Consider the following 23,920-nt stretch of genomic DNA (forward strand, 5'->3'; position numbering starts at 1 on the left):
GCCCACTGAGGCCAGGCTCTTCATGTTGACAACATCTTGCCTTTCTTAACTGTACGTGTGCATCTCAGAATAGTATACATGGCATTAATCATTGATGTAAATCCAAAGAACTTAAAACTGAAATAGTATATTGGTTAAGGTAATAGACATTTTTTAAGACTGTAAAGAAGTAAGAGAATGATAACCTCAAAGTTCACAATATTAACTGCCTTTAAAGCAGGAATGAAGGGATGGAAACTGCAATGAGTGCTCAGGGTACTTCAAAATTAATAATACTAATTTTATTCTGTTCTTCTTTGAGTTCTTATTCATTGGGCTTAGCATATTGTTAACAAGCACTCATTTTTGTCTACTAAATACTTAATAAAAATTATTTAAAAAGTAAAATAATATGGGCATTTGTTCTAAAGTTCCTCATTTATAGAACTGAGAAAGTCCTATAATCTGGAGAAGACTACCGCATTTGGATTATACGGTTTCATTGTGGGATCCAGAGGCAGAAATAACTTGTAGCATATGAAAAGGGCAAATAATCTGATTAGAAAATACATAACAATTACATGGCAGCAGGTGGAAATAAGTGCAAACCCTTACCCTAAATGGATCAAAAGGTTTATGGTTCAGTGAATCTGAGAAGAAAGAATTGTCTATAAATAATATCATTATAGGTTATAGGTTATATATCAGCAAAAAAATGGAAAGATATTGGGGAAATATATTTTTAATTAGGTAATTGTAGACTGAACAAATGGTCTTATCAAAATGATGCTGGTTTTGGATAAAAAAATTTGATAGGCATTACTTTAAAAATGTCACTGGGATCTGCCATTGACCATATTCTATTTAAATGCTAATCTACATATCCAAGTTAAAGGTTATATACATACTTCTGGTTGACACGAAGTAGGAAGGGATAGTTAACAACCTGAAATAAATTGAAAAGCAGATCTCAGTGACTGAATCCAATAACAGCGTGTGGTGGAAAAGACCTAAGAATAAAGTCCGCTGAAGGAATAAATATTTATAGTGATCATTAAACTAATGTGACCCAAGAGAAAGTTGTTTGGATTATAATATCTTGCATGGATGGATATCATGATTCTCATTGTATTCTGTGCGTGCTAGAAAATCAATGGCTTCTCCAAGTACACAGAAATACAGGTAATTTTAGGCAGAGCAATATGACAGGAATGATGTACATGAAGACTTGTTCGAAGCATTGATTAAGATGTCAGGGATGGTGAACATGATAGTTGTATGTTTATATATATATTTTCATTCATATCTCCATTCACTTAACAGGTATTTTATTGATTACTCACATATGCTAATGGAAAAGTTATTATTTTCTATATTTTCCTGGGCTCAAATAAAGAATAGCAAAAAAAGTTAGACAAAGATAATTTTCAATTTTTCTGAAGGTCAAAGTGGCAGCCTCAAAAGGAGTTTGATTCTCATTATTGAATAAACTGAAGGAAGTTTGGTCAATTTCATAATTCATTTTCCATAGAATAACTTCTAATAATAGATGAGTTATTGGGGAAAAATGGAGGCATACTATAGTGAGGAAAATGACAAATTTTTAATTCAGACATGAGTAGATTTAAATTATGTTTCTGTCTTATACTAACTGGAGGACTTGGGACAACTTAGTTAACTATCTGCAGTTTAATATTTTTTAGAGTCATGCAACCTCAAAACTTTTTGACACTCTATAAATGCTATCTCATATACTTTACAATATCTTGCAAATATTTCTATCACCCTCAAGATACACGATATTTTATAGATAAGAAATCTGAGGTGGCTGTTATTTTACATTACCTACACAAGATACTGAAAGGATTTGATGGATTGAATTAGTGGTCCCAGTTATTTCATCCATTGTGTGAAAATTACACAATCGCAGTCTTGTCTTGGTCTACTGATAGGAGGAGTGCCACAGTTTAACTGAGGCTTGGCTTTAACTGAGGCTTGGCTATGTGTCTTGTTTGCCTAATGTGATATTGGCAACCTTGAAGAGAACAGACATGTGAAATGCTCATATTCACTTTGGCGTGGACCTTTTCTATTTCTGTTCTCACAATGAGATACTTCTACCCCAAGTAGTCATTGCCACTTATGCATCCCCAGAATAAATACATTGACAATGACCTTACTCTTGCTGACCAGAGCCTGAGACAAAGTTGTCCAGCAAAGGCTACTCTTCATCAGTGGAACCACAGTTAACTGGTAGACACACCTGAGCATGAGAATAAAAGTTGGTTGTGGATGGTCTATGATACAGCAATATTATGACAGTAGGTGACTTACAGATGAACCTGAAAAACCACAGCTTTTTAACGTTAGTGGTTTTCCTTTTGTATTTATGTCAGCATAAAACATATGTACCAGATATTAGGTTATATAATATTTTCATTATATCACACATCACTACTAAAGGCTAAATGATTTTTTAAAAGGCTAAATCAAAGCCTACTTTTGCTATAAAATGAATGTCTTCCTCAGGCGATATCATCAAAAGGATGAATAAACCTGGCTAATTAATCTATTTCATGGTAAGAAAGGTGAAACATGAATTTCCGTCATGTGAATCACAAGACAAAATTTTCATCTATTCTAAAGATGGGATTAGACAATTAAATTGTTTAAGAAAAGTTTTGTTTAATGTATTTCTAATAGGTATATGAAAATAACATGGTTAATATTTACATATTTATAAAAACCCTAAAATTAGCAATTTATGTATGTATACATGTATATATATGCCAATAATAATTTCATTACAGCATAGTTCATGAATATTATCCTGTACTGTGAATGAACCCTAATCAGAGTATTGACTTGAGTTATCTGGATATTTTTTAAATGATGATATTCCCCCTAATGATCTGTTATAATTAATATATATAATTAGAAAAAGGAGGCACTTTCTGCTTTTGAAGTTCTCCCTTATTTTCAAATCAAATAGTTACGTGCTCTCCTTTTTATATAGTTTTCTTCTGTGTGTGTACATATATATACATCTTTCTATATTTTCTGTTTCTAATTATTTTCTGATTCCTAGAAAGAGATAATGTATCATTTTTCAAATTGCCTTTAGAATTGAATTTCATGTAAAACATCATCAAATTTGATTTTAAAATCTAAGTCCAATTATTTTATTATATTAACTTAATTTTAATATATTCCATTAGAGAGAAAGAAAATTATTCACTTCTCTATTAAATGTATGTGCACTATAATTTTCTGAATCATTATTACATAATATATATGATTAATATTAAACACTGATAACAAACTTAAATATGCTAAAAAATGAAACAACATAAACTCCTCATTAACCATATCAACATAACTTTTCTTAAATCAGCTATTTTATATAATTTATGAAGCCTATCTTAGATCAGTTTAGGCATAATTTAGTGCCTATTGTATCCTATATTCTGAGATTCAAATATTAAAAGATGAGAGATTCAAGAATAAATCAGTTCCTACTGATTTTCTCAAATGTTCATAGTTTAAGTTGAGAGACAAATCAATAAAATGAATAATATGAAATAAGGGGAAGCAGAGAAATATATATTTCTATAAAGAAAAAACTTTTTTGGAGGATGAGGAGAACTCAAGAAAAGTTTTCTAAGAAAACGATTGAGTAGAATATTCAAATATAAATGTGAATTAGTGAAAGAGAATTGAGATGATTCTGAGAAATGAAATAGGAGAGACAAAGGAAGGTAGGGGTTTTGGAGTTTGTGTGTGTGTGTGTGTGTCTGTGTGTGTGTGTGTGTGTGTGTGTATTTCAAATGAGCCTGGAAAAGTACAAGACAGAGCATGGTGAGTGTTATGTCTAGGTCTTTAAACTTTATAGGAAGTAAATGGAGGATGTCAAGTGAAGGGATATGGCCAGTTCCTCCTGGATAGATTACATTAGCTATATTCCAAAATATAAATTATAAAAACAAAAACCAGGAAGACTAGGCTGTCACTAATTTTGCAGTAAAAATTATTAAATCCAGCCGGGTACGGTGGGTCACACCTGTAATCCCAGCACATTGGGAGCCCGAGGCGGGTGGATCACGAGGTCAGGAGTTCAAGACCAACCTGGCCGAGATGGTGAAACCCCGTCTCGACTAAAAATACAAAAAAAATTAGCTGGGCGCGGTGGCGAGCGCCTGTAATCCAAGCTACTCAGGAGGCTGAGGCAGAGAATTGCTTGAAGCTGGGAGGTGGAGGTTACAGTATGCCGAGATTGCACCACCGCACTCCAGCCTGGGTGACAAAGCAAGACTCTGTCCCCCCCAAAAAAAAAATTAAATCCACATAAAATAATAGTAAATAGAAATATTTTTGAAAGGTACTTAGAATTCAACTTATCTAATCTTGATTCGGCAGGTACTGGTGAAGAAGAAAAGGTCAAAGCCACTTCCAAGTCACAGATTTTCATGACTGAATGGGAGATGTTATTACTGACTAGAATAAAAATAAAAAAAGTTATAAATCATATCTAAAAGGATGGGCTTTGGCATCAGAAACAACTGGCTTCTAACTCAGCTATTCCACTTAATTAGTTTTGTGACCTTGACATCAAACTTTTTTGAGACTTGGCACCTTCATATACAGAATGGAAAATGTAGTTGCTTGGAAGATTATTGGAGCATTAACTGTGATAATGTATGTTAAAGTACTTAGTATAGTACCTTACATAAAGTAAACATATTAAAACGTTAGCCAATATATCTGTAAATATTGGGAGGATGGGAGTAACGGTGTCACAAGTTTGTTCTGTCTCAGCAAAGTCTGAAGTTTAAGAAATTGGCCACGGCTTTAGGTGCCCATTCAGGAATACTTTGAATATAAGCGCTTGTTAAAATTATTAGAGTGTTGATTTTGCTCAGAGAAAATGTATGGGGTGAGATACGCAGAGAGGTCTGGGAATTAGGTTTATTATCAACGTGTCAATGAGAGACACCCCTGAAGTAAGCCAGAAAGAAATAGATATATAAGGATAAAGAAGTATTTTAAAAGTTTAAATCTAATTATAACACAGATATTCTAAATATATTTTTCATATGGGAAGATTTTTTAAAAAATATTACTGTTTCTTTCCTTCACTCTGTAATTTATTTCAGTCTTTGACAAGTAGGTGGTTTTGTGGGAGACTAGGAACAACTGTGAGAAGGAGCAAACATTTCAATCACCAACAAATATCTTTGATACAAATATTATTTTTGCTCTTGCACTTCAGAGGCCCAATAATGTCCTTACTAAATCAATGATAATTATCCTTTCACACCTGATATGCATCTTCAGCGCCATTCAGGTGTTTTTATTTAAATTTTTAAAATGAGCATCTTTTTAATCAGCAAAAATTTCATTTTCAAAATTCAAAATTTTCTCTTAAAATATATATTCCCCAGCCAAGTGCTCTACAGCCAGTGATGAATTTAAGTTTTGCATGCCTAACTTTTTTCCTTAGTTTAGATAACTGCTTTTCAAGGTTTCCCCAGGTAGATATCTAGTGGTTTGAAATGCATTTTAACTTTTGATAGAATCTGGACTTAATGCCACAGTAAACGGAATGTAACCAATAGAATCAATACAAAAAGATCTGGAATCTTTTCTATGTTCTGACAATATCCCAATGTGCTGTGCTGCTAGCTCACTGGCTGGAGAAGAGTACAAAGAAAGTAAGGAGAAAACTGTATTGATCATATTCTCTACAGGCCAGAACACAGTGCTGGCCACATAGTTGAGATTCAGTGAAGATGCCTTACAGCCACCTGTTTTGTGAAATCACCAAGAAGGTTTAAAATGCAAACTATGCAGAATGTTGATGTGAAAGTCATATTACAATTAAAAAAGACACACCTTTTCATTGCTAAATAATTGATACAAACATTGAGTACCTTACTGCTAATTGCATAGCAAAATATTTTCACTTAACTATCAAGAACTTGCAAAATAAGAGTTTGTACATATTTGGAATATAGAGTTATTTTAGAAAACACAGGAAAACTAGGTCATGGTTTCTTTTCTTTGTTTATTCAGTGTTTTTAATTATTTGAAAAGCTCTCTGTCGGAATATATTCTTTTCTTTTAGGAGCACATAATTGGCAAGTTTTTTAAAATAATAATCATAATGTATAATATTGTAACAGTCATTTGATTAAATCAAGATGTATTACATTATACCAGAATTTCATCATCTGTCTTGGAAAATCTTTTTAATTGACCAAATAGCCAACATTATAGCACATGGTTATTTTCTAAATCAAACAAAGCCACCGGGAGGAAATAAACTTCCCTTAGAAATAACCACTCTATATAAGACATGCAACAGTCCTCTTTAGCTTTGTTTTGAACCAAAGGACATGACCCTCCATTAACTCTGCCCTCACCATTTCCCCATGAGATAGACTAGACAGCATGACTATCAGATGTTTTAGTGAATAATCCTTGACCTTCAACAACTGAACACAAAGTGTTTTTGTTGTGTCTATTGCACTTTATAATTGCAAAATTCTTCATTCATTAGCTAAACCTCTTTTCCTCTGGAATAGGTGAGTGTTCAGCATCAGTACCACTTCTGCTGTGCCAGTTAGGAAAGTGAGAAACAGGGTCAAATGGCCTTTTTTCATGTCTTATATTTGACAGCCAGGATGCTGATTTTCAAAGAGCACAGTGGGAAAATAAAATAACTGACTAATTTATAATAATTATAGAGGAGACTGGAAAGAATGACAGGATATTTGCAGAGAGATTTAATGTACTTAATTAATTTGACCTCAACACCAACAGAAAGGTTTGCAAGTAGAGTTCTCCTAGGTGTGTAGTATTTAAGGATGTTAATTTTAATGAGCACATTTATTATAAAACGATGTTTTCTTTCACTGTGATTTTAAAACAGGTGTAGTTTAAAAGCTCTCTTTTTCAAACTTATTCCCTTTCAACACAAAGCAAAGAAAAAGTTATGGCTCTGAATAAATGAGGTTACACTTATTTTATGGAAATCACACACTCAGGAGATCAAGTGTCTTGGAAGCCAATTAATTTATTACTAATATTAAGGGGCATGTACTTAGAAATGTACTTACAACATCAATTATGTTCAACTATCTATCATAACAAATTTTACTGGCAAATGTATGGTATTCCAATGGATCATATTTTATACGCTATTTTTACCAAGAATAAGCCATTTGACATACACTTCTGAAAAAGGAAAGAAAAGCAAAGGAAAGGAAATAAGGAAGAAAACAAGAGGGGATAAAAAGGAAAGAAGAGAAGGAGAGGTAGAAAAAAGAGTGAGGAAGGAGAGTAGAGAGGGAGATCAAAAGAGGGGGAGATAAATAAAAGTAAGCCACTATGGAATATAAGCTTAGCATTTTAGCAAATAAAAACGCATGAAATGTGCTCATAAAATAAAAAGCTGTCTAATCTTGTAATAAATTTGCATTTCTATTTAGCAAAATACTGCAATGAGAAGGATTTCGAAGATGTCTCCTGCAAGAATTTGTCAGCCTTTTGTTAAAACATACACCTCTTTTGGAATACTAGATATGAACCTATTTGTCATATCATGATTATTTTTATATTAATGTCTACACTCTGTTCACATATAACATTTCTGCTTTTTTACAATCTGCTTTGGCCTATTCTATCTTCTTGTTCTCGATTTGCAAAAATATTCTGGAAATGAAAAACAGTCACATTATTGAAAGATTTGTAAAATATGGAAAACTAGGATATCCTAAAGGAAATATTGCAGATGGGAAGCAGCATTGTTATATTGCTATTTCAAATGTGTCCTCCATTACCATTTTCTTGGGCAGTTAATTATTTTTTGAACAGTCTTCCACTTTTAGGAGTAAAAAATAGAAGTAAATATTCATTTTTATTCTTTGAATGGGGGCTAGATCAAGGAGAATAATCTTACTAATAAGAAGATGGGTTTATTTAGTGATTATTCATTAGTCATGATTATCTCTCCGTGAATCTTAGAATTTTTCTATGGTATTATTTTACCAGTAAGCTATTTCTGACAAGGGAATTGTATTTTCACTCAGCATTAGAATCCTCCACTAACAAACGATTAATCTCACCTTCTTGTATTCTATATTTATTTATTTCTCACTCATCCAAAGTCAACTGTGAATCTGGGCAAATCTCCAGAAAGCTGTCCTCAATGTGATGGCTCATCAGTTCCAAAATCATCTCCTGTTTCCATACTTGGCATGGCCCTGGGAGGAGGACTGGACAATAAAGAGCCAGCAATTAACTTCTCCTTCAGGGAAGTGATTGTCCTACTGTGTCATTTTCACTTAGTAAACTAAGTTAGAGGCCAGCTAATTTCAATGATGTTGGAAACTGCAATCTTCCTTTGTTCCCAGAGAGAGAGCAGCTGAGCTATTGTTCAACTGTAGCAATGTCTGCATAGGAAGAGTATGGTATGAATTCTTTCCTTCACAACCAGTTACATGAAGGGTGATCTGTGGAATACAAAATTTCAAATAGTGCAAGAGGATTTGGACAAGGAATCAATGCCTACTCTAAAAAGAAATAATTATGTGACACTAGGCACAGAAAATCCTGGTGCTTTTTTTTCTTTTTTTCTTTCTTTCTCTTTTTTTTTTTTTTTTTTGAGACAGAGTCTCGCTCTGTTGTCCAGGCTGAAGTGCAGTGATGCGATCTCAGCTCACCACAACCTCTTCCTCCTGGGTTCAAGTGATACTCCTGCCTCAGCCTCCTGAGTAGCTGGGACTACAGTCATGCACCACCATTCTCGGCTAATTTTTTTTTCTTGTATTTTTTGTAGAGACAGGGTTTCACTATGTTAGCCAGGCTGGTCTCAAACTCCTGACCTCCTGATCCACCTACCTCGGCCTTCCAAAGTGCTGGGATTACAGGCATGAGCCACTGCGCCCAGCCAGTCCTGATGCTTTTTAAGGGGCTTTTTATGTTTTAACCTCCAATCTTTCTACATAACATGGACAAAATTTTATTGAAATGCCTCTTTTCCACTGAGTGCAAGAAAGCCGTGTAAACTAACAATTGTGATGGGCTGTTTTGAATTCAGGTGTTTATTCAAAAAAAAATTAAACAAAGTTGTAAGTTTCCTGTTATAAAATTGCCGCAATTCCATTACAGCGAATTCTGAAAACTAAGGGTAACCATGTAAATAAAGTGATCCCTACAATGAATACTGTAACTATTTCCACCATGTCTTTGGGAAATTCAAGGCTGTGACCAATCCAGAACTCCTGCTTTCATTCATTTTCTGAAATTTCTTATCTGAACTTCTTCATGCCAATGGAACTATCATTTAATGAGAGATATAAATTGAAGCTAAAGAAGAATATCATATAAAGTCTTATGTAGACATGAACTTTGTTCTTTTCAATACTATACACATAATGCTTAGAGCAACAGAGTGTGACAGTAAATATTGATTTAGTGACCTAATATATAAATGAAAGAAAGACACAAAAAATAATATAATCTTGGGACATCAAATTCACTATAAAATAATCCCAAATAGGCAGGTATGGTGGCTTATGCCTGTAATCCCAGCACTTTGGGAGGCTGAGGGAGGAGGATCGCTTGAGCTCAGGAGTTCGAGACCAGACTGGGCAACACAGTAGACCCTGTTTCTACGAACAAAAATTTTAAAAAAATTAGCTGGGTGTGGTCCTAGCTCCTCTGAAGGCTGAGGCAGGAGGATTGCTTGAGCCCAGCACGTTGAGGCTACAGTGAGCCATGATCTTGTCAGTACACTTCAGCCTGGGCAACAGGGCAAGATGCTGTCTCAAAAATAAAAATTAAAATAAAATAAAATAATCCTAAATACATAAAGAAAAAATCGTATAATTAAAAAAATGTTATTAGGTCCTTCAGACTATTGCCATATGTCAGATAAACAATTTGTATTACACAGAAACATATGTCAAAACACCAATAGGTTGTTGACATTTTAGTCATGTAAAAATATGTTATTATGAAGAGAGTAAAGGATCACATCATACTTTTCAATGTACATTCTGGATGAATTGAAGTGTTGAACATTTTATGACATGTTGCTTTATATTATGGCTTGAGTTATACTAGACCATGAAATTAAAACAGGCTGATTAAATATAATTAGATAATAAACATTAAATAGAATTTACATGGAAACTATACTTAGCTGTTGAGTCATAATATGATCATGGTAGATAGAAGCCTAATTTTGCTATTTCTTTGACGTGGAAGTTAAACAGTTGAAAGAAGTGTGCTTGGAAGCCAGTGTGTAAAGGAATAGACCTACTGCTCTGTCCTATATATCAATTTGGTGAAACGGGTAGCATACTTCACAGATTCCTCTACCCGATGGTTGCTGATTGAGAATTGACCAGAAATGCAATTTCAGCACAATTTGAAGGCAGAAGTGAAAAAATAACCATTATTCTCCAAGGTCATTGTAGGGAGATATTTGATGGAAAGATCCAGAGGGGGCAAGTGGGCCCAGCTTGTCCTTGCTTTGCCATTTTCTTCATTCAGCTCTTAACCCTGATGACGGTCATGCTGAAAAACAGCAGCCTTAAGCACTCATCTCTATTTCCTTGGCTGTAGACCCGTAGAAGTAGTTGTTCAAAGGGGGCAACAGCTTCTTGTAGACCTCTTATGAGCACCCTATCATGGTCCCACCATCCTAGTGGCTGAATGTGCTTGGATTCCCAGATTTTCTTGCCAACTTTGACTGGTTCACCTGCACCCGTGCTTCAGGCAGCAAAGAGAGTGGCTTATTCTCTCTGATCCTCAGCCTCCACCTTCCAGACTCTCACTTCCTCAGCTTACAACTCATTTGTGTAAGTCATTCTAAAATTGAATCTCTTGTTCTCATAAAATTTAGAATGGGCTCTATTTCCATGACTGTAGCATAACTAATAAAACTGATTCACTGGTTAATTTTATTAATATTGAAAGAACAATAGCAACACCTCCATTAAAGGCAGGCAAAGGGGGATTTACCTAAAGGTAATATTCATTTCTTAAAATGGGTGTGTGAGAGTGTCTGTGTGTGTGTGTGTGTGTGTGTGTGTGTGTGTGTGTATTTTGAGATGAGGTCTCACTCTGTTGTCAGGTTGGAGTGCAGTGGCATGATCTTGGCTCACTACAACCTCTGCCTCCTGGGCTCAAGGGATCCTCTCTCCCACCTCAGCCTCCTGAGTAGCTAGGACTACAGGCACACGCCACAATGCCAGGCTAATTTTTGTATTTTAATAGAGATGGGATTTCATCATGTTACCCAGGCTGGTCTTGAACTCTTGGCTCATGCAATCCACCCACCTCAGCCTCCCAAAGTGCTGGTATGATAGGCATGAGCCACTGTGCCCAGCCTTAAAATGTATAGATTAGCCTTTTAGGCAAATTTGTCACTTAAGATAAAAGTTTTTGTTGTTGGTAGTGTCGGTGTTTTTGTTAACACGATTATGTCTACTCAATATATTTGAAAGTTTCTTATTCTTTCTATTGCTTTCTTGATGTAGCATAGATTTTTTTGTAGGACAAGAGTTAGAAAAATTAAGGGGTTAAATATCATGCTACAACAAAAGGGGTTAAATATCATACAACAACAAAATAGATGAAAATATTTACAATTTATTTAAATGGATACAATTCTTATACTTCATAAACATCATTTACATGTTTCTTATCTCTGTGCATGTGTATGCATGTGTGTCCCTATGCTAGTTTACAATCAAAATTACTTGTCTTTTTTTTTTTTTTTTTTTGAGATGAAGTTTCGCTCTTGTTGCCCAGGCTGGCTGGAGTGCAATGGTGCTATCTCGGCTCACTGCAACCTCTGCCTCCTGGGTTCAAGCAATTCTGCCACAGCCTCCCGAGTAGCTGGGAATACAGGCACCCACCATCACGTCTGGCTAATTTTTTACATTTTTAGTAGAGACAGGGTTTCACCATGTTGGCCAGGCTGGTCTTGAACGCCTGACACATGTGTTCCTCCTGCCTCGGCCTCCCAAAGTGCTGGGATTACAGGTGTCAGCCACCATGCCCAGCCAACACTTGAAATTACTTATACCCTTCACGGTTTATAAACTCTAATTTGCTTTAAGTCAACTTAACTACAAACCCAGAAACACATAAGTAGACACATGTTTGTACACGTGCTTGTATAAATGCACAACCACAATTTCATTGTAGTTTGTAAATGGCTGAACATTTAAAAGCATAAAGGGTAAAGTAGCTAAATATTCGATGCAAAAAGAATGGCAGGCAGAGGTAATTTTACCTCTAATTTATCCTCTACCACCATTGAGGAGTCTTTATAAACAATAAGTTAAAACTCTGATTTTAATTTGTCAAGTGCGATTGAAACCACAAAATTAGTCACACACAAACCAGAACAAACTAAGTACTGCAGATGCTGCAGATGTTTCATTTTTCAGTTTTAAAATTCAACCATATTTTTCTTATTATAAGCAAATATATAAGATGACTTTTTAAAATCTTTTTCTTTTTTGTTTTTGTTTGTTGTTTGTTTGAGAGACAGTCTCGCTTTATCACCCAGGCTGGAGTGCGGTTGCACGATCTTGGCGCGCTGCAACCTCTGCCTCCTGGGTTCAAGTGATTCTCCTGCCTCAGTCTCTGGAATAGCTGGGACTACAGGTGCGAGCCACCATACCCGGCTAATTTTTAAAATATTTTTAGTAGAGACGGGGTTTCACTGTGTTGGCCAGGATGGTCTCGATCTCCTGACCTTGTAATCCAGCTGCCTTGGACTCCCAAAGTGCTGGGATTACAGGCATGAAACGAATGCATGCATACTCATGCTAATAAATGCTTGGGTATGCTTATACCACACTAAAATCACATAAATAACTCTGGCATAATACAGTGATTTATATATATTATATATTTATATAAAAGCTATATATAATATGCTATGTTATTATATATTATACATATAATCTGTTTACAGATATATAGCAAACACTTACTATATGTTAGTCTGTTAGACACTGTTCTCATCTCTTGAAATATATGAGCACACAAGACAAAGATCTCTGTTCTCCAAGTGTTTACATTCCAGAAAGGAGAGGTGGAAGTAAATAATAAATGTAATATAAGAAAATAAAAACGTAGACCAGGATAAGGAAATTGTATTATACAGTTTTATACAATTTGCATATTAAATAGAGAGGATAGCCTTCATAGAGAAGGGGGATTCAAACAGAGGCTTGAAGGTAACTAGCCAAGTAGGTGGCTGGTAATCAGTATCCCAGTCAGAGGGAACAGCTAGCAAAGGTGGGAGTAAACCTCCTAAGTTCCAGGAAAAGCAAGAAGAGTTGGACAGAGCTGCAGAAGAACAAGGGGAAGGATGCAGGGAAAACGGATCAGAAATAAAATGAGGCGGCACAGACTACACAGACACTTGGTACTTCCTCTAAGGTAAGTTGGGAACTACCAGTTGATTTTTACCAGACAGGTGACATGATCTGCCATATTCTAAAAGAATAGCATTTTCTCTTGAGGCTAATCTTTGGAGAACTAGAAGCAGTAATTTGGATAAGCAATTACTACTACGGGAGTCATGGTGACAAGAGAGCAACAGATGAAAATTGGTAGGATCCTACACATACTGTGGATGTAGAGACAACAGGATCTGCTGGCAAATTAGATATGCAATGTGAGTGAAATAGAGGACATAAAAGGGCTTGATTGAGAGACTTCACCTTGAGTAATTGGAAGGATGGAGTTGATGTTGACCGACATCGTGAAATCTGAGCATAGAATATGTTTGTGAGTGAAGACCTATAATTCATTTTGGACGTGTGAATTTGGAATGTCTATTAGATATCCAAGTAGATATGCCAAAAAAAAGTTGAGTATAGGAGATTAGATTTTGGGAGAGCTGAGCTGGGAAATATATATTTGGGAGTTTTCAGCATATGGTGTTTAAAACTATGAAGTTGGATGAGATCTCTAAGGGCGTGGGTGTAGATAGACAGGAGAAAACTAATGCTGCTCCAACACTGAGGGGAGAACAGAAGAAACTAGCAACTGGAACTGAGAAGGAATAGCTAGTGAGGCAAAAGGTAAAACCAGTCATGTGGGCATCTGAAAATCCAACTTTAAGAACTGTGTTGAGGAGGAGGGAAGAATTAACTGAGTCAAATAAACATTATGTAAATTGTATACAAAGAGTAGTCTACACTTATGCATTTTTGAGTTGGCAGGAAATTTTTGGAAGAATACTTAGGAAGCTGCTGGTTTGAGCAACTGTCTCTTGGAAGTGAGATGGCAGGTGAAAAGAAAGGGAGATGAAGTGTTCAACACATTCAGCTATAACCACATGGTTCCGCATGCATCCCATGCATAATAAAATATGAAAATATACTTAAAATAACAATAATCATGTAGGTGGCAAAAAATACTTGAGATGACAACAGAACAGGTGAAAAACCTCAAACAGGTTATATTTGAAAACTTTTTTAAAATGAAAACCAATCCTCATAATAGCATCCATGGAACTAGTACTGCCACGGAACCCCAAATCAAATTCTGTTAGTCATGACTGGGACTAAACTTTACTTCTACATGACTTCTTTTAAAATGCAAACACGTTACCTGAAATGTATAATGTTAAATATGCAATCTAAAAAGTATTTTAAATGGAAGATGGCTAAAATTATATATGCATAGACAGCTAAAAAAAAACTGTATGCAACATAAGGAAAAAATCAAAGTTTTTAGACCCTGTAAACATGAATGACAGTAGGTTGTAGTGTCTGAGAGGAGGGATTTACGATCCAATACATGGCTGCCCATGAAAGACATGGCCCATTAGAGTGTATGCAAGAGAGTTTTTTGCAAGAGAGTTACAGAGACAAAAAAATAGTCAAGGACCAGAGCTTAATAGAGTAAATAATGTGGAATGGGGTAATAACCAAAGATTTATTGGTGTTGTAGGCCAAGAGTACATGGTTAGTCAGGATAAAGACAAGGTATCATTAATGTGGCAAGTTACAAGTTATGTGTTCACTCTAGAACGAAAGATGAAATCCCATAGTAAAATTTAAAATGTTAAACTACTTGGATTTTTCAATATGAGATCAGTTAATAATGAAAGTATTTCCAGAAACAAAGAAAGGTTGGGAAATACAGACTATGAGAGGTTTTAATATTTTTGCGATTAGTCATCAAAAAACAATCAAACTTAATTCTATCATGGTAATACTCCCTAATGCAGTTTTCTAAATCTATTTTAAACAACAAGCAATAAGCCAAAGGAAAAGTGAGATAATGCCTTTATACATATTGTAACTGTGTTTACTTTTCTCAGTTTCTACCAGAGAAAAGGCAGGTGCATTTTTTTGGTATGTTTGTGTAAAGTGAATTTGGCTTTACTTTTTCAAATTGAAATTATCTTATTTTCATAGAGTTTGAAACTTTTCTTGGCATTAAAGAATAGAAGAGTAAATGCATTTACAAAAATTTGTTAAATAACCATTAATGAATATATCTTGGTGCTGCGTTAAAGTTATTAATCATAGCTTTGTGACTGGGAAGGAAAATATAGTAATTTTTCAGGGTAGCTCTCTGTGAATCCACAATACTGGGGAAGTCTTCCCCAATTCTATCTGTGAAAACACTCATAACTTACCAGTTATCCATGGTGACATGAACTAATGGACCATCTTTAAATAAATTCACTAAGAGTTCCAGAATATGGCACAATGTTCTTTTTCTCTGTAGTACTGTGAAATTAGCATCAAACACAGAAGAATTCACTATTCTTTACCTCCCCCATGGTTGTCATCTCTACACTGTAAATCATAGAGCCAGAAAAAATGAAGTTGTTTTCCTCCTGTCATTCATATTTCATAGCTTCCTCTATTGTGTGAAAGTATTTCATTTTTAGGAAGGATCAATGCCAAAAGAGTTTATTACCTTCTATCAGAAGCATTTAGCTAGCTTTAGAGATCTCACTGAAGAAGTTGTTCTTAACATTTGTGGTGTGTGTGTGTGTGTGTGTGTGTGTGTGTGTGTATGCATACACATGGGTAATAAACATGAAATGTGAAGGCACTGCAAAAATGTTTTGAAAGATATTTAAAATATATTTCCAGTGCATTTTCTTTATTTTCTTGACTGCTTACCACAGACACATGCTTCTAGAGAGACTACAGAATTAAAAAGAAAACAGACATCTAAAGAAAGCAATTATCATGTTGGCACTGTAAAGCAGGATTTTGGCTGTTTGATAAGACATTTATAAGAAATATGACTTTTTAAAAAGTTAATGAGTACATTCAATGTCCACCAGCCTTGTCTCACTGTGTAGGGCTGTGTCTTTTTGCATGTTTTTGTATTAATGCATGAGGAAACAGGGGCAACTGAGAAATGGGAGTATAATTATAAGGATGCTTATTTGTATACAACCTGCCCATGGTTTTTCCATCCTTCATCAAGATAAAAAAGAGAAAATGCCTGTCATTCTGTTCCGGAAGACATCCAGATGAACTGTGAATAAGCAGCTGTTATTCTCACAAGAAAATTGACTGAAATTTCATACTCGGTAAAAAATAATTTATCTGCAGTCATCATACACAAAGCTTCATGGAGTTACACATTAAGGTTTCCTATAATAACTTGGAAATCTACAGGAACAAGGGCAGGGCTTTGACTCATTATTTGGATGTGAATACATGACCCACATTAATGTTAGAGATAATGGGCAACTTAGCACACTCCAAATCAAACAGCTTCATGATCCATCATTAACCTAAGTGAGCTTTCACTTTACTGAAGCAGCCCTCTAAATGAATAGGTCATTGCCTGCTTAAAAACTCAAAGATCTGTTAATATTCCAAGGACTTAGAGTCTATTAGATCAGACAATCTGAGCTTGTACAAAATTGTAGGCACACTGGATAGCTAACATCCTTTGGTGTATATATAAATATTTTAAAGAACATTCTTTGATACTTGATTTAAACAGGGAACACTGCATTTGTGACATTATTCTGCATAAATGTGCATATGTGTCAAGTTCAAAGAAAAAGAAAAGACTCTGTAGAGAGATACTCCACAAGAGGAAATAAGTTTCCACTCTAAGCTGACTTTCATAATGCAATTAAATCCATTAGAGAGAATGGAATTTCAAATACTGTTCAAATTAAGGCAGTGCAGTTAGAAGCAGCAGCAATTCAGGAAGAATTAGCAATGCCCTTCTGAAGAGAGCTACTGAATTAAATCTCGGAGGGCTTTAAGATTAAGTCATTTAATTGCTACTTTAGGAGCTCCAGACAGTGCATAGAGTTGAGTCCAGGTGTTAATACTGATTCTTCTCTGTTCTCTTCATATAACAAAACTGAATCTTAGAGCCAATTAAGGCAAACTTGAAAGGCCTTCTTCCCCCTTTTCAGTATGCTCCGGGTGTTTTATTTTAATTGTAGACAACACGGGAAATTGAGCACATTATACATAGTGAGATATTATTAAATCTTGAGTTGAAAAGATAACCAATATTCATCCATATTATTTTGCCTTAAGTTGCAAAAACTTGTTTTTTGTAGAAGGACACTCACATTGTGTTTATTTTATTCCCCTAATCATTTTAACAGGAGAACACAGTTTCTGTACCAAATCCTAACACTAATAACATCACCAGCTAATGATTAGTACATTTATAGGCCAAGGTAAATGCATGAATAAATTACAATAGAAAGTACTATAATTCACGAGTATGTCTCACACCCCTCCCTCAAGATATCCACTTTTAACATATTATGATGTAAATTGCTCAAACTCCTTTAATAGGCATACTTTTGGGTGAATTTATGCACTCTTATCCATTCCTTCATTTATTCGTTCACCAAACAAAATGGATTGAGGGCTGCTATGTGCCCTCTATGTGCGACTATTATAGGGCTTTCCTCATGGGGCTTGCATCATCATATGATATGAAGTAGGTCCTATTTTATAAAATGAAGTTGGATAAGGGTAGAGATGATTCTTCTGCAGAAGAAAGTGCTACTTTCAGACAATTGTTAGAGAACATCACTCTGATGTAATGACAATAAAACCAAGATTTACATGAAACAAAGGGGGATGCTGGGTGAGCGCCAAGGCCTTGTGGCAGTGTTGAACTTGACGTAATGAGAAAGGAAATGGAGGGGCTTGACAAGATATTGGTTTTAAGCCATGGGAAGTACTTTGATACTATATCGGAGAGTGTACATCTGCTACTGTGTAATGAGTTGGGGTCGGGGAGAAGGGAGAGTATAAAAGTAGAAACAGAAATATCTGTTTAGAGACTAGTGTACAGTCTAGATGTGAGACAATAGTGTCTGGAGCGAAGGTGACTGTGGTATAGGAAGTGAGGTTACTGGATTGAAGTTACTGGGTTTTTGAAGTTACTGGGTTGAAGACATATTTAGAGAAGGAAGTCAGGAAGCAGTAGAATTGATATTGTACCACATGTGGGTGGAATGGAGAGGAGCAAAGTCTCAGAAGTGACCCTTAGGTCTTAAGAAATTGGATGGATAATTATGTTATTTACTGAGATAAAGAAGATTAGGAAAATGGGTATATTTAGGGTGCGGTAAAGAGGGGCAGAAATGAAAAGTCTGGTTTTGAACAAGTTGGGTTTCAAGTGACTGTTAGATTCCTAGATAGAAATATTGAGCAGGCATTCTGAATTGAAGTCAGCAGAGGGATTAGAAGTAAAGGCATAGATTTGGAAAAAGCATCCAGATGGCATTTAAACCCATGCTACTGGATGCAATTACCCCTTCAGTGATTCTCTAGATAGAGAGATGAGTGGGCCTATGATGGTATCCTGGGATGCTCTGATAGATGTATTTACAGGTCAAAAGACACAGAGAACTCAGAAAAAGAGAATAAGAAGAAGCACTCAGTGATGAAAGAATAAAACCAGAAACTAATAAAGAAAAAGCAGATGAAAGATTTAATGTGAAAAAAATCATCTAAACATTAGAATTGCTGGATTTTGAATTTTGATGGATACTGTCAAATTTACTTCCCAAAGATTCCACATTTTACAATCCAGCCAAAACTCTATGAGACAGGTCTGTGCTTTTGTGATGTTTTGTGTGTTTTAAATAAGCATGACCTTCACTTTTGTTTTTAAAAAGTAACACCTGCTTGACAATATCCCTATCTGGAGGTGTGTGTAAACCTCTGGGCCAGGGCAGATCACATGCCATATATTTTCATTTATACCTCTTTCCCTCATCACTGGTGTTATATAATTGTGGCATATAAAAATTAATTGTCAGCAAAATGTAAAATGTTGAGATTTGAGTATATGAAAGAATTTTTTTAATACCGTTGTTAAAATTTTTATTGTTAATGTTTAATATAAATAGGAATTTGCCCTATGTGTTAGGTTATTGACACGACTACAATTCATTCCAATTCCATTCTCAACAACAGTTGTTATACTGGGCTTCCTTCTTGTAGGATCTTATATTGGTGATCTTCTTCTAGTAGGTGTTAAAGCACAAATCCTGGATAGTTATTAATATAACTAGATTTCTCACTATAAGACACTCTTTTACTTGAGAAATTTATTTGAGGTTTTCTATTCTTACCTAAGTAAACATATAACTTAAAGCCTTGCCAAGAGCTTGTTTTGCACTTTTCAGTCACTATCATTTCCTAGTAATTAGGAAAGTGTAGAGTTTCAGTAAAATCTTGCTTTAAAACCTGCCTGCAATCACATCCCTTAAAATAATGGCAACCCCTCATGGAAATATTGACTCAGAAAGTTGCAGGAAGACACTTCATTTGGGTATATTGTTATCTGCTGTTACTTCAATCATTCCTACATTCTTTACTCAGAAATCGTCTTAAATACATCATTTCATTTAGTGCTGATGATAGCACCCCAAAATATATTTTCACTGTAGAATGGAAACTATTAATGTTAATTTCCTCTGGTTTTCAACATTTACTGAGCATTTGAAGCTCTTTCCATTACATTTAAAAGTATTATTTTTGATCGTTTAATTAGCATCACGTTTTGGTTATTTCCTAATAATCCTTTTTTGAATAAACATTGAAGTGCCAGATAAAATTATATGATTTTTAAAAAAATAGTATATCACTGGCATTATTAAAATTAATGACATTTTCTAATTGTATCCCTCATCTATCCTCCAGATATTATAAACTTTCATGTTCACTAAAACTTTAATCCATCATTTAATTCCCTTTTACTGTATGATCAGCCTCTTTCTTTTATTCTTTTTTTTTCTTTCTTTCTTTTTTTTCTTGTGAGACCGAGTCTCACTCTGTCGCCCAGGCTGGAGAGCAATGGTGCGATCTCGGCTCACTGCAACCTCCGCCTCCTGGGTTCAAGTGATTCTCCTGCCTCAGCCTCCTGAGTAGCTGGGATGAAAGGTGTGCACCACCATGCCTGGTGATCAGTCTCTTTTTAATGTTTTCTATTTTATCTATTCATGTGTTCAAGTCTCTATAAAACAAAATACTACAAATTTCCCTTCATTATGTACTAACTCTCTGGTTACCTCCTGTTGTCTCTTTATTTGACATGTTAACCTTTTGAAATATGATGGCAAAACTTTCATCACAATGTAAACTTACTAATTTTTCAAATTCCAGGAATATCCATGTCTGTCCATTGAAAGCATTCTTTTTTTAACCTTCAAGTGATTGTTTTATCTACTTAATCAATCAATTACTGATACTATTGCTGCTTTTTAGTGATTACATTTTAACTTACCTAATGTGGTGCCAGATTAATAGCCTATTCTTTCCTTCAAACAGTGTAACCATCTTGCAAGACTTTATCCCCCAATTTTGTTATTCTTGTCCAGTATTTTAGTTCAATTATGTAACACCATAAATTTGTAATATTATTGTTCATACACGATCAAAGTTTGTTACCCACACCCCCATGGTCTCCATTTTCTTTGCTTCCCAGTCCTTCTTGGATCTCAGATCTTCTGTCTGGGATCATTTTCCTTCTTGAAGCACATTGGTTAGTTAGTTTATCAGGGAGGGATGCTGGTGATTTTGTTTGTTTGAAAATGTCTCTACTTTTCAAAGAGAATTTCTTCAGTGTGTAACTCTAGCTTGGCAATTATTTTATTTGAGTTATAATGGAATTATGGGTACACATTTCTTGGCTCTCCTTGCTGTCACTGAGAATACTGATTCAGTCTAATTGTTATATTTTGTAGATAATCTGTCTTTCTTCCCCATTTTGGAAATCTTTATTTTCTGTATTGTACTTTTTTTATGCTGTACGTAAGTGTGGATTTTTTTTTCTCATCATATCATATAAAGTTTAGGATATATTGTGCTTCTTCAGAGTGAGGACTCACATTTCATCAAAAAATGTTTTTTTTTTAGACAAGTCACTTGGGAACCCCTTTTACCCCAACGTGACAAAATTCAACACATAACAAACCCTGGACATTACATATTTTCTTCCAACCCCATGTTCCAGCTGTGGCTGTAGTTATCCTCTACAAATCTAGCTTAGAGATGAGGAAGGTTAAAAGGAGAAAGACCTGACCATGATAAGTGTTATCTGTGGGGTAATTCAAATTAAATTAACAGAATAACTCAAAGTTCAAAAAGTTAAATAACTTTTCCCAAATTGCTCATGTAATAATCCTTAAACTATGGTTTCAAACAATTGTCTGACTCAAGTTTTGAACTTTCCACATCATCATGTAGACGGTGCATCAGGACTCTCATCTTTGTACATGGGGGATTTTTTTTGTATGTTATAATAATTTTCCAGGAAATTGGAATTATAGAACCTATTGATTTTATGGTGTACTAAAGGTATATTCAACCTTACTTGTATTTAGCATCGTGCTTTGCCGGTAAGTCTAAATACACTACCTGTGTCCTAATGTTTGACTATGTATTTGGACTTGGAACCAAGCATGCATCATTCAGCCATTTGAACACATAGTAAAAACTTAATACATTTGAAGAGGCAAGAGTAACATATATCCATTTGAACACATAGATTTAAGGAATAATACGTAAGTCCTGTATTTCCCTAATGGGTATCGGTGTACAGATTGGAGTCTCATTGTTTCTCACTAGAACCTTCACAGATATATGCATGAGATGTATATATTTTAAGAAGAATTTTACATTGTTCAAGAAACACATATCTTACATTCAAGGTAATATAAATCCATCTGTAGAGCAATGGATTAAATATTCATGGAGCAAGGGTTATGAAAGAAAACCACTGTAAAAAAATACCTGAAGCATAATGAAGATTTAATTTATCCCTTAATACCATCAGCTATAACATGATAGACACAAATCTGAATACAGCTAAATTTATAAGACTGGTAAACATATGCCTTGTTTTCAATAATTTAACAGGTGCTTACTAAATGAAGTGATAATTAATAATTGAGTAATTGAATAATTGAATTCAAAGCATTTATCTATAATCTCACAAAACGTAGAATAACATTATGTAGAGTTCATCTGTAATTTTAGAACAGTCATAACTCTCACTTAATATGTTGTAAAAAAGTTATTTACTCCATTTTATTAATCATCTTATGATGAGATGCTTAAAAACAACTTTGAGTAACTACTATTGATATTCAATACAGGCAGCATAGTACACATTCACACACACACATTTTCCTTTTAAAGTTTGGTTATGATATATTACCCTCCTAGCATAGTAAGTCAGGAAAAAGCTGCAACTGTCTTAAAGCTGAAAGTTAAAAGGCTTTTAAAAGCTCTGAGTTTAAATTGTTCAGTTATTCAGTATTAGCAAAATAAAAAGCTCCCAGTAAAAATAATACATTTTCATTTATTTAACAATTAAATGTATTTTTGGGTACTATTTAAGCCTATTCATAAAAATAAAATGCAATATTTGTTAAACAGGAAGGATAAATATTTTCCACCTATAATTTAACACAAATAGGAATATCAATTGGTACTAGATTATAAGCAAAATGTTCTCTATTGATGTAATGATCACATGATAATTTCTGACATAATTACTTTTAAAACAGCAATAATTTGCTAGAAGATGAACAGGATAATATCTTACTTTAAATGAGACATCTGTAATCACTCTTTCCCTTTGGAAGTAGGAAGAAATTTACAACAGAGTCTGCTAGTAGGTCATTTTATTACCCAAGCCCTTAGATTTTATATTTTTACATGAAAACATGGCTCACTTTTAAAGACAGCCATCACTCTATGAATCCTCCTATCATGGCAAGACTGATTTGATGTTCATCACAATGCATTTTAAGAGGCAAGAGTGACATATATCCTTATTAATCTCATAATGATAAAGGATTGATTTCAACCTATATCCCAGACTGTTACATGAAATAGGCTCTGCCAAAATATCAGGTTCAAAAGATGCTCAATTTAAGGAGATCAGTTTTATGCTCCATCCTCAAAGGACAGAGTTATATGAGGTGTAAGTACGTCACATGAGGCATTAAGAGAAATTTTCTTCCCCATAAACTAAACACTGTTTGTACTGTAGTAAGAACTTAATACATATCATTCCGTGTGTGGAAGAAATGACTCACACTCCCTCCCCCTCCCCCCAACAATAATGCAGCTTTCTCTTTTTTGTAGGAATTATCTAAAATGATCACATCACTAAGCAGATCAGTGAGAGGAGTGAGTTTGAGTAGAAAATAAAAAAGCATTCGTGGCTTAAAAACTTCCCCCTACTGCTTGGAAATGGCACACCACAGTAGAAGTTAAGAACACAGCAAGCAGAGATTAACTGAACAACACAGAAAATCAAAAACATTTTTTTAATGGGGAAGGGGATTAACAATGCCAGGGCTAATCTTGGAAACTGGTCTCTGAAGTAAGAGTTATTAAGAGAAAAATATGTTATGTTCTAG

The 23,920-nt window shown here is 34.7% G+C and overlaps 1 protein-coding gene across 5 annotated transcripts in view, besides 1 other annotated feature; it reads right to left on the reverse strand.

The window, feature by feature from the left end:
- CDH12 (cadherin 12) overlaps positions 1-23,920 on the reverse strand; it is a 1,102,672-nt gene that overhangs the window by 1,076,925 nt on the left and 1,827 nt on the right. The gene's annotated exons all lie outside the window — the stretch shown is intronic.
- Positions 8,051-8,552: an enhancer, noted in NCBI's record as "NANOG hESC enhancer chr5:22835757-22836258 (GRCh37/hg19 assembly coordinates)". NCBI's record gives its function as "activates a minimal SCP1, AML or CMV promoter by ChIP-STARR-seq in primed H9 embryonic stem cells {active_cell/tissue: H9 hESC(primed)}" and the evidence as "EXISTENCE:reporter gene assay evidence [ECO:0000049][PMID:30033119]".

This window comes from Homo sapiens, chromosome 5, assembly GCF_000001405.40.
Source record: "Homo sapiens chromosome 5, GRCh38.p14 Primary Assembly".
In the NCBI taxonomy this organism is placed as follows: domain Eukaryota; kingdom Metazoa; phylum Chordata; class Mammalia; order Primates; family Hominidae; genus Homo; species Homo sapiens.